The sequence below is a fragment of the Homo sapiens genome, chromosome 13, assembly GCF_000001405.40.
Source record: "Homo sapiens chromosome 13, GRCh38.p14 Primary Assembly".
In the NCBI taxonomy this organism is placed as follows: Eukaryota; Metazoa; Chordata; class Mammalia; order Primates; family Hominidae; genus Homo; species Homo sapiens.
The window spans coordinates 95,715,608-95,728,569 of record NC_000013.11 but is presented as its reverse complement, the minus strand read 5'-3'; the positions used below and the strand labels follow the sequence as shown (position 1 = coordinate 95,728,569).

General features: G+C 38.7%; 1 protein-coding gene across 2 annotated transcripts in view; it reads right to left on the bottom strand.

Moving 5' to 3' along the window:
• DNAJC3 (DnaJ heat shock protein family (Hsp40) member C3) overlaps positions 1–12,962 on the bottom strand; it is a 117,850-nt gene that overhangs the window by 66,419 nt on the left and 38,469 nt on the right. For both annotated transcript variants that reach the window (XM_011521104.3, NM_006260.5), the window contains exons 3-4: positions 5,204–5,328; positions 3,318–3,392 (exon numbers count right to left, since the gene is read on the bottom strand). In XM_011521104.3, coding sequence (XP_011519406.1) covers positions 3,318–3,392; positions 5,204–5,328 — 200 coding nt within the window. The remainder of the gene's footprint in view (positions 1–3,317; positions 3,393–5,203; positions 5,329–12,962) is intronic.

The window sequence follows — 12,962 nt, the reverse complement described above, 5'->3', positions numbered from 1 at the left end:
TATCTAAAATATATAAAGGACATTTAAAACACAACAATAAAAAAGCAAACAAGCCAATTAGAACATGAGCAGAAAACATGAACAGAAATTTCACTGAAAAGGATTTACAGATGGCAAATAAGCACAGGAAACGATGTTCAACATCATTAGTAATCAGAGAAATCCAAATTAAAACCACAATATAGTAACACATCTATGAGAATGGCCAAAATAAAAAATAATGACAATACCAAATGCCGGCAAGGATGCAGAGGAATGTAAAATGGTACAGTCACTCTGGAAAGCAATTTGGTGCTTTCTTACAAAATAAACATGCAATAACCATACAACCCAGTAACTGCACTCCTGGACATTTATCCCAGGGATAACAAAAATTCACGTTCACACAAACATCTGTACGAGAATGTTCACGGCAGCTTTATTTGCAATAGCCAAGAAATGGAAACAACCCAAATGTCCATCAGCATCTAAAAGGAACAAACTAAGTAGGATATGTAAAAATCTAGATAAATCTCCAGAAAATTACACTGAGTAAAAAGAGTCAATTCTAAAAGATTTTTGTATAACATTTGATTCCAGTTATGTAAGATTTTTGAAATGTCAAAATTTAAGAAATGAATATCAAATTAGTGGATGCCAGAAAGTATGACTAGGGGGCCAGAGCAGGGTGGGATGGAAATTGGTATGGTTACAAAGGGTAACAGGAGGGATCCCAGGGTAACAGAATACCAAGTCAGTGTCTTGACTATGGTGGTAGGTACATGAACCAACACATGTGATAAAGTATATGGAATACATGCAACAAAGAAATGAATACTACTAAAATTGAGGAAATCTGAATAGATTGATAGATTGTATCAGTGTCAATATCCTGGTTGTGATACAGTGCTATAGTTTTACACTACGGATAAATTCATAGGTACAAAAACAATTTTCTTATTGGAGGAAACTGGGTAAATGGCACCTGTCATCTATTTGTATTATTTCTTACCACTGCATGAAAATCTACAATTATCTCAGTAAAAAGTTCAATTAAAACTAAAAGATTATTAAAGACAGATATGCATTCTCATGGAAGAATCCCTATAACAATAGTAAGAGCTAAAAAAATAGTTTGCTTTAAGAACACTCTACAAGTATGACTGCCAAAGAGCAATCTAAAAAGTAGAAGGTCTGTGAGAGTCCACCTCCTTGTTTCTGAGAAGTTTTAATACTGATCACAGAAAAGACATTAACCCAAGGCATATCCAAGGTACCAAGATCTCAGTTATCCAGAAGAAACATCCAATGCCCAATAAGGATTAATTTGTGCTAAAACTATATCCTAAATTATTTCTAAAAAACTACTCTCAAGTTTAATTGGAAAAAAAAAAAACCTAAGTAACAGATTTAAGCATCTGCTAGAAGCAGAAACACATTCTCATGTTTTATAATTCATTCATCCATTTGACAAATGTTTATGCAACACGTTCTTTGAACAAAGGCCTGGGCTAGGGAAAGATTACTCCGGCACTATCACCTCCCCACCACCCAGTCTTCAGCCTGCTCTCAAGCATCTTCCCAAGTAGGAGGGGAGATAGATAAAAAGAAAATGACAGCCGATTTTATTGAGACCACAAGGCAGTTTCTGATCCAATACAATTAAATCTAATGTTTTTGGATTTATCCACAGATGACAGAGTATTGTGACAAGTGTTATGATAATGTTAGAAATTTTAGTTTTCTTTTCATAGTGGTTATCATCATAGTAACTAAGCATTTCCATAAACTATAAAAAATGCAAATAATAAACAGTGGCTTATATACCCTTTCTAGACCATTCCAGAAGCAAACCCATGTAAAACAAAAATGCTGGTCTTTAAAACAAGCCTAATGAGGGCATAAAAAGACCAGCTAAGTGTCTCTAACCAAATCATTTTTTAGTATATACCCCCTTCAATGACACAAAATCTGTAACATTCCCTAACAAATCCAAAGCACTTTACACTTTGTAAAGCAGCCATAATGGATGACTGCAAAATTCCCTTTTAAGAATGTGTTTCACAAACAACCCCATCAAAAAGTGGGTGAAGGATATGAACAGACACTTCTCAAAAGAAGACATTTATGCAGCCAAAAAACACATGAAAAAATGCTCATCATCACTGGCCATCAGAGAAATGCAAATCAAAACCACAATGAGATACCAACTCACACCAGTTGGAATGGCAATCATTAAAAAGTCAGGAAACAACAGGTGCTGGGGAGGATGTGGAAAAATAGGAACACTTTTACACTGTTGGTGGGACTATAAACTAGTTCAACCATTGTGGAAGTCAGTGTGGTGATTCCTCAGGGATCTAGAACTAGAAATACCATTTGACCCAACCATCCCATTACTGGGTATATACCCAAAGGATTATAAATCATGCTGCTATAAAGACACATGCACACGTATGTTTATTGCGGCACTATTCACAATAGCAAAGACTTGGAACCAACCCAAATGTCCAACAACGATAGACTGGATTAAGAAAATGTGGCACATATACACCATGGAATACTATACAGCCATAAAAAATGAAGAGTTCATGTCCTTTGTAGCGACATGGATGAAACTGGAAACCATCATTCTCAGCAAACTATCGCAAGGACAAAAAACCAAACACCGCATGTTCTCACTCATAGGTGGGAATTGAACAATGAGAACACGTGGACACAGGAAGGGGAACATCACACTCCGGGGACTGTTGTGGGGTGGGGGGAGGGGGGAGGGATAGCATTAGGAGATATACCTAATGCTAAATGACGAGTTAATGGGTGCAGCACACCAACATGGCACATGTATACATACGTAACAAACCTGCACATTGTGCACATGTACCCTAAAACTTAAAGTATAATAATAATAAAAAAAAAGAGAAAAAAAAAAAGAATCTGTTTCATTACTCCTCTCAAATCAAATGAAGGATCTCCAAAAGGACAGATCCAAAGCCTAATAAGGATTAACAAGGGCTTTAAAAGTAGTTCAGCTGACATCTTTAGATTCTCATGGTGGACAAAGCAGAACAAGCAAGCTGTATAAACTGAGTTAAGATTATATATCTATTGGGTACGCTTTACCTTCCAACTGTTAACAGGATTCTTTGATGTCTGCCATCAAATAGTAATTCAGGATTTGTGATTCTTAAATATATAAATCTGGCTATTCTCTATTTACTGTCTAAGACTATTGACTCTTAGCTATAAAATTACTATTAACTGTCATAATATAAAAAAGGTCAAATACGTTCTCTCAAAATAACATCTTCCTAGAGTCAAATACATATTGAACTTACCACTTTTTTAAAATCATCTTCTGCTTCATCAAGTTTTCCTTGTTTGAGTAATAAGTGACCTCTCTGTAATCTTGCCTAGAAAAAAAGGGGGCAGAGGATTATCTTGAATATTATAGATTTCTAAATCTTTTTTAAACACGAAGAATAAAACTAAATAAACAAATTATTAATAAATATTTATTTTTCCAGTGCACATCTGACTTGACACCAAGAATAATTCCTGGAACCAATGAATGTGTATAATTTTTCTTAAAGTATGCTTCCTTAAAAATACTTTTTGTTCTACCCAAGAAAACTGAAAACATGTCCACACAAAAACTTGTACATGTATGTTCACAATGATAGCCAAAAAGTGGAAATAACCCAATTCCCATCAACTAAATCAATATACAAATATAATATATCCATACAATATTACTCAGCCATAAAAAGGAATGACATATTGATATGTGCTACATGAATGAACCTTGAAAACACTATGCTAAGTGAAAGAAGTCAGACACAAAAGGCCAAACATTATACGATGTTACATTATATGAAACAAATCTATGATAAGTGGTTGCCAGGAGCTAGGGGAGCAATGGGGAGTGACCGCTAATAGGTACAGGGCTTCTTTGGGGGTCGATAAAAGTGTCCTAGAAGTAGCTAGTGGTGACCACTGCACAACTTGTGAATATACTAAAAACCACTGAATACTTTTAAAGGGTAAGTCTGATGGCATATAAATTATATCTCAATTTTTAAAAATACTTTTTGCCCTACAATAAAAGTTGCGTAAGTTGGGACTTTACCAATGACTCTTCCCTTCTAACATGCACCAGTTTCTCCCCCTTCATCTGATATTCCTCTTCTTCTAATGTGTGTAATCCCGTTTCTTTCAAGAATACCAACTCTGGATGACCAATGAAGCCACATTAATATTCCACTTAACCCTATATACATTACTTTTACAGTAAATAAAATTTTCCTAACCCTGTTAAATTCATCAATACAATAAAAAGCAAGATTAAACTATCATAAAAAAGCCACTCCAACTATCATAATACTAAGAAAATGAGCCATTTAACCTTTGTGAAAGGTTGTGCTTGCTTAGCTGTGTAAGATAAATTTGAAAAATATTTGAGATTTGGGAATTCCATCTTAAAATATTAGTAATATTTCAAATCAAACATTCACCCCATATCTAATCAGTTATCTCAAATCCTTCTCGAAATACAGTAGGAAATAAATAATAAATGGCTATCAAATTACTTCTGAAACCGTCTAATTGATCAGTGGTTGTCAATTCTGCCTCTGAAAGCCCCACCTGAGTTCTACCTCATGAGTCCCTCCCTGTTCACACATCTGTCACAACCTTTATGGTGACCTGCCAATCATCAGGATTTCCTACTAGGCTACAAGTTTCTCCACCTCTGAAGCTTGTGGATTGGTTCCAGGGGATGTCTCTGCTAATTTAGCATTTTATTGTCACCACAAATCATAGCCCAATTAAGTAATCCCCACTTTATTCTTCCTGGTACAGCCTTAAGTGCAACTGCTGCCAGTCACCTGATAGCATCTTAATTCAGCCTCTTCATCAACTCATGTCTCAGCCTCACATCTTGCCTCACACTCCAGCCTCCACACAGATTTGTCTTTCTAAACCACAAAGCTGACATCACTGCCAGACTTCTGAAAAAAAAACATCTAATGTACCCGCTGTTCTCTTTCACACAGATCTTTGATTCTAGGGACTTTGAATTTCTCTTGTTCCTCAGTCCACAACATCACTGTAGCTTTGATCTCTTCCAGCTATGTCTAGCATGCCAGTCCTCACCTTATGAAACAAATTATCTCTCCCCAAGTTCTGTTAAGTTCCCCTTTAAAGAAAGTTGAGATATACTTACTGCAGTGAAGTCCATCTTCAATTGAATCACTTTAGTTAAATCAGGAAGTGCAGCTTTTGATTTGCCCATAGCTAAAAAGACAGTAGCCCTCCGATAATAAGCAATATAGTTATCAGGGTCACCATCTGAAAATTAAAATAATATTACCTCTTAGTCATTTATTCAAAAATAAAAATTTAAAAAAAAACAAATCACCTGGACAGTATCAGCACTTGCAACTCTACTAAGATGGACATTAAGAAAAGAATCTCATCATCAAAAAAGAGTCATGTTGCCTAGCAAGATCAGTGCAAATAGACCTAGAATAGGGGTCAGCAAAGTACAGCCCAAGCCACATCCGACCTACAGACTTCAATTAAGAATGTTTTTTACATTTCTTAAAAGTTGCCCAAAAAAAAGAAAGAACAAAAGAAAAACATAAGACTGTGGCCGCAAAGCCGAAACTACTTGTCTAGCCCTTTAGAAAAAAAGTTCGCAAACCCCTGGTCTAGAATATTAACTATATTCAACTTATAACCTTTTTCGGCGGGGGGGGGGGGGGGGGGGGGGGGCGGACAAGGTGTCTGTCACCCAGGTTGGAGCGCAGTGGCATGATCATGGCCCTCTGCAGCCTTGACCTCCCACGCTCAAGCAATCCTGCCACCTCAGCCTTCTGAGAAGCTGGGACAACAGGCGTATTCGCCACCTCAGCCTTCTGAGAAGCTGAGACAACAGGCGTATTCCACCACGGCTGGCTAATTTTTTTTTTTTTTTAATTTTTTGTAGAGAGTCTCACCATGTTGCCTAAGCTGGTCTTGAACTCCTGGGCTCCAGCAATCCTCCTACCTCAGCTTCCCAAAGTGCTAGGATTACAGGCATGAGCCACTGCACCCAGCCTCAACTCATAACTTTTGTTAAGTATGCAATTCAGTTTGTCTCTATGGAGATTCTCCTAAGTGAAATACTAAGAATGTGGACTATGCACATTGGTGTCCAGGGTTTTAGAAATGTATAAACCTCTGACTAAATTGATATATTGAATGTATAATCTCTGCTCCCTCACAAACTCCAACTAGAATGGAGGTGAAGAAATAAAGGTACAAGGACAAAGGAGGAGAACAGAAATGAGAGTGAGACTAGAGAAAGGGGCTAGAGAAGTTAACATTTGTAAGGAAAGCAGACAGATGAATTAGGTTTCCGAGCTAATTTTACTCTGCTTATCAGCACCTACGAAGTACAGAAAAGAGTGGATTCAGTCAGAAGCAAATCTGCTGCAGAACAATCCTTCTAAAAAGCATTTGGAAATAGAAGCATATAAAGAATTCTAAAACTAACCTTGACAAAAGCCAGCCATCAATCTTTTAAAAATAAAAGATTTATCTACTCAGGTGTTCATCATCATAAGATATACAATTAAACTCCCTAAAAGTTCTACTCCTAAAGTTCTTGTCATTTGGAAAACATTACAATAGAAGAATCTATACGGCAGGACAGTCCATAATCATTCAAAATTATGGTTGTGAACAGTTGTTAATGGCATTGAAAATGCCAGGGGAAGGTGGGTCAGAAAAAGAGATTAGGCTATACAACCAAACATGAAAGAAGACATACAAATGGCCAAAGAGCACATGAAAAGATGCTCACCATCACAAGTTTTTAGGAAAATGCAAATCAAAACCACATTGATCTGCATGGGGGAACAAAAATACTAATAAAAACTAAAAAAGCAAAACCAAAAAAAAAAAAACACACACATTGAGATACCAATTCACACCCATTAGGATGGCTATTATGAAAAATAAAAAGATAAAATAACAAATGTTCGCAAGGTGTGGAGAAACTGGAACACCTGTGCGCTGTTGGTGGGATGTAAGATGGTATGGCACTGTGGAAAACCGTAAGATGATTTCTCAAAAAATTTAATGTAAAATTACAATGTGGGCCAGCAATTCTACTCCTGTGTATATACCCCAAAGAAATAAAAAGAAGGGTCAAATATGCATTCAAACACACATGTTCACAGCAGTATTATTCACAATAGTCCAAAGGCAGAAACAACCCCGAAGTCCATCAGTGGATGAATGGATAAACAAAAGGTGGGATATACCATACATACAGCAGGTTATTCATTCAGCCTTACAGAGAAATGAAACTCCTAGGCATGCTACAACATGGATGAACCTTAAAAACATTATGCTAAGTGAAATAAGCAAAGACACAAAAGGAAAATACTGTATGATTTCACTAATATGAGGTACCTAACATATTCAAATAATAGAGACAGAAGGTAGAATAGTGGTTGCCAGGGGCTGGTGTAAAGGGTTAGGAATAGGGCCCTAATGTTTAATGGATGCAGAGTTTCAGTTTGGGATAATGAAAAAGTTCTGGAAATGGATAGTGATGACTGCACAACAATGTGAACACAATGCCACTGAATTGTACACTTACAAATGGTTAAAATGGTAAATTTTCATACATTTTACCACAATAAAAAAGTAAAAACATGAACCAGTCAGAAAAAAAAAATGTATTTTTTAAAAAAGGAATTAGGTATTTTAACAACAAAAAAAAACCTTCTTTTTCTTAAATCTAAAAATAAAAATATATGATCCCAGCTAAGCGTCACTAACATTTCTTTACTAAATAACTTCCTTTAGGAGGCAAGGACAGGACAGCAAAATCAGTAGCCTGAATATAGGATATTTCTTACAAAATACTGTAATTAACTTGAGGAAAGAGTAGGAATCAGAGTAACTACATTTAGAACTTGCTTGATATACAGTATTTTTCAGTTCAGCTTATATTTTATTTGTAAGGTACAATAAATTAAAATTTTATGGGTCTGGTTTGTGAACTGGCCATAGAATGATTTCATACTTAAGAATTACTAACATTTAAGTGACGCACCAGACAGCAAAGGCAGTTCACTGCGTGTCAACAGTGGCTATCCAAGCAGAGAGATGGGGTTTCTTCTTTCTGTAGTCCATGTATTCCAAAATGTTTCACAATACATATGGATTACTTTCATATTCATTAGTTTTTTAAAAAATTTAAGTTATCCATGGCTTATTCACACTAAGCAAAGAATAATACTGGAAATACGATGATTTAAGGCCTAAAGTACACAACCCCATCAATTTCATATGTCCAAATCCTACTCAATCTTTGAGGCACAGCTCAAATGACTTATTTGACTATACATGGAAAAATAAACCTTTCCTTCTCTCAAATTCCATAACATTCTATAATACATATCCCTTACTGCACCTAACCCTAAGCACTGATTATTAATTATTTATACACATTTGGCCCTCTGTATCCATGGGTTCCACATCTGTAGATTCAACCACCCTCAGACTGAAAATATTTAGGAAAAAAAAAACTGTGTCTGTACTGAACATGTACAGACTTTTTTCATTATTCCCTAAAAAGTACAGTAAAACAACTATTTACACAGCATTTACATGGTATACGGTAAACTACATTAGATTTCTATTTGGAAAAACCTGACCATTCCAATCCATGAAGAAAAAATCTCCACAGAGGACTGTGTATAACTTTTGTATTAAGGATCCCATCATACACAAAAATTGTCTACATACAATATTTCTGGAGTGCTCACTAATTCTACTGTTCAGTTTTTAGGCATTTTAAGACAGGAAATGGAATTGGAACCCCAATTTATAACACCAAATCTACATAAATAAGGAATCTGTTGTACTATAAGATATATATTTGGTCTTCTTCCAGCTTCCTGACATATAGCTCCTACAACCCGTGGGATCTCTGGAGTGATTACTTTTTTGTATACTAACGAAACGGCTGGTAGCTGGGCACCAGCTGGGCACTAGATAGTTTCAGGATGGGAGCTGGTTGCCAGGGGAACCTACCAGGTGAAAAGGTTGGAACTTTGAGTACTCTGTACCCTCCTCGGGTTGTTGAAGGTTGAGTTGGTTACCAATAGCCAACGATATAATACATCATGCCTAAGTGATAAAGCCTCGGGTTGTTGAAGGTTGAGTTGGTTACCAACAGCCAATGATATAATACATCATGCCTAAGTGATAATGTGTACACAAAAACCTAAAAGGACAGGGTTTGGAAGAACTTCCATGCAGCCAAAAACATGGAGGCTCCTAGAGGGTGGTACACCCAGAGAGGGCAAAGAAGCGCCATATCCCTTCCCATATGCCTGGCCCTATGCATCTCTTCCATCTATTTGGTTGTTCGTCTGTATCCTTTGTAATATCACATAATAAACCAGTAAACGTAAGTGTTTCCCTGAGTTCTGTGAGCTGCTCTAGCAAATTAATTGAACCCAAGGAAGGGGTCATGGGAATCCTCATTTACAGCCAGTCAGTCAGAAGTACAGGTAAAACAACCAGGGCCTTATGAATGGCTTCTGAAGTCAGGAGTGGTCTTGTGGCACTGAGCTCTCAATCTGTGGGATCTTAGGCTACCTCCAGATAGACAGTGTCAGAACTGAACAGAATTAGAGGACATCCAGCTGCTGTCTGCTGAAGAATCTGTAGGATTACTTGGTGGAGAGAAATTCCCACACATTTTGGTGACCAGAGGTCACAGAAGAATTCTGCACGGGGAGAATATAATAGGAGAAACTGAATTTTTTTGTCCACTGAGAATCAAATGACAATAGTTTAACACATGAATCAAGAATCAATTTTCTGGCTAGGCACAGTGGCTCATGCCTGTAATACCAGCATTTTGGGAGGCCAAGGCGGGTGGATCACTTGAGGCCAGGAGTTCGAGACCAGCCTGGCCAACATGGTGAAACACCGTCTCTACTAAAAATACAAAAATTAGCCAGGCATGGTGGTGCACACCTATAATCCCAGCTACTCCAGAGGCTGAAGAGGAGAATCACTTGAACCCGAAAAGTGGAGGTTGCAGCGAGCTGAGATCATACCACTGCACTCCAGCATGGGTGACACTGCGAGACTCCGTCTCAATTTTCTTAGAGGCATGGGGTCACCTGCACAGTAAATCAAAATAGCCTTCCCTGGTTCTTCATCTTAAAATACCAACAGTTAATGGAACTAGAGTCCATTCCTACATCACTGTGCATGAAGTAGCAAGTGAAACAAGAATTGGTTTAGAAATGCATGCTTAGTTTTTACCAATACAAGACTGGATAACCTTGAAAATAAGTATTTTTCCTATTATCCATCCAATATATAATATTGTTCATTATGTAAATTATTTGCAAGTCTACATGTGGAAATATGGAAATACTATATTTCATTTTAAACCACATAATTCAAATCCTTATACTAGCTTATTAGAAACTTGAACATGGGAGATGGATTTAACCTCTACCCAGAATCCTAGAACTATCAAACAATTCAAATATGAGAAAATTAGCCAGAATAAAACAATACAACTACTATCTGGAGAAAACACATCAGAAAGCCAATTACAAATGATGTTGTAAATGGTGGTAGTGAGAGGCATAGGAAAAACACACTGGACTGGTGCGTTAGTCCGTTTTCATGCTGCTGATGAAGACATACCCAAGACTGGGTATTTTTTTAAAAAAAGAGGTTTAATGGACTGACAGTTCCACATGGCTGGGGAGGCCTCACAATCATGGCCGAAGGCGAAAGGCACATCTTACATGGCAGCAGACAAGAGAGAATGAGAGCCAAGCGAATTTATAAAATCTTCAGATCTCGTGAGACTTATTCACTACTGTGAGAACAGTATGGGGGGAACCATCCCCATGATTCAATTATCTCCCACCAGTTCCCTCCAACAACATGTGGGAATTATGGGAGCTACAATTCGAGATTTGGGTGGGGACACAGCCAAACCATATCATCTAGATACGGAAAATGTTTTACTCATTCTCTCAGCTCACCCAACTGAACTCCTTCATTCAACAATTTACTGAACTGACCAGACATTAAAATAGTAGCATAGCTCAGAATCTTTTGAACTGGAATATCACCTTCAGAAAGTTGCTAGAGCACTTTTTGTTTCCTTTTGTCTAAATGTAAACAGTAATGTTTGTCCTCATTTCAGAAGTGAGGTTGAAATGTGATGAGAAAGCACCATAACAAGTTTAAGTGATATAAAAATCTAGAAATGGATTTTGTTTTTGGATTCAGCAAAACTATGTAAGGGTTGTGCTAGTTTTCTTACCAAGCAAATGAAGAAATCGATCATTTCACACTGCCCACCATTTAATCTACCACTTAAGACATTTGTTCGTGCCAGATATACCTAAGACCCTCTGTAAAGTCTATTAAATTTAGGGTTTCAGATCCCAGGATTCATTATCCCCATAGTTCTCTTCTGATAAACGCACATCTCTTAAGAGTTTCAAAAGGTCACAACACCCCATCACCACCTACTGCATAATCCTATTGATATGGGAGGGGGGCAGGGAAGTGCTGGGTAGAGAGGGGTGGGGTCCCAGGTAGGGCTGCACCCTTGGGCCTGTGCCCACGGACCTAAGTGAGAACAGGCACTCCTGTTTTCATGCCCAAATGTTGCATTTTCCGAGATCACTCTGGCCAGCCACGCACCCCATACTGTGCCCATATAAATCAGAGACCTTAAGCAGACACAGATACAAATGGCTGGATGTCTAGAGGAGAAGAAGAGCATACCAGCAGACACTGGCAGAGCAGCGATGGCAGAACGACGTGGATGCTGAGGGGAGTTCAGCCAGGAGTGGCCATAGAAGAGTCTGGCCGCTGGGCAGCCCGACTCCAGAGGAAGACCACCTTACCACTCCATCCCCCACTTCCGGCTCCCTATCCATCTCGCTGAGAGCCACCTCCACCACTCAATAAACCTTGCACTCAACCTTCCAGCCCATGTATATGATCTGATTCTTCCAGTACAACCGAGCAAGAACTCAGGCTGTCACACTGGCCCCGTCCTTGCAATAAGGGAGAGGGTCTACTGAGCTGACTAACACAAGCCGTCTGCAGATGGCGTAGCTGAAGCAGCACACTGTAACACACACCCACTTGGGCTTCAGGAGTCCTAGACATTGCCGTGGGGCCGGAGCCCAAAAGCACTCCCCACGGCCTCTGCACCTGCCCATCTGCATGCTCCCAGTAAGGGTCTGAGCAGTGGGGCCCCGAAGACAGAAGCCACAACCCTGTTGCACGCCCTGCAAGGGAGATATGAAAACCCTCCCATTTCACTATGATAGAAAATTTAAACTTTATTTTCTGGGGATTTTTTGTTTTTGTTTTTTTGAGGCAGAGTCTCACTCTCGCCCAGGCTGGAGTACAATGGCATGATCTCAACTCACTGCAACCTCCACCTCCCAGGTTCAAGCAATTCTCGTGCCTCAGCTTCCCAAGTAGCTGGGATTACAGGCACCTGCCACCACGCCCGGTTAACTTTTTGTATTTTTAGTAGAGAGGAGGTTTCACCATGTTGGCCAGGCTGGTCTCGAACTCCTGACCTCAGGTGATCCGCCCACCTTAGCCTCCCAAAGTGCTGGGATTACAGGCATGAGCCACCACGCCCAGCCTTAAACTTTATTTTCTATAGTTTGTTATGAACAATGTGTTCTACATGAACTAAAATGATAAATGGTCTTCCTAGAAATCATGATGTGTGGCTGGGCGCAGTGGCTCATGCCTGTAATCCCAACATTTTTGGAGGCCAAGGGGGGGTGGATCATCAGGTCAAGAGATCGAGACCATCCTCGCCAACATGGTGAAACCCCGTCTCTACTAAAAATACAAAAATTAGCTGGGCATGGTGGCGCATGCCTATACTCCTAGCTGCTCGGGCT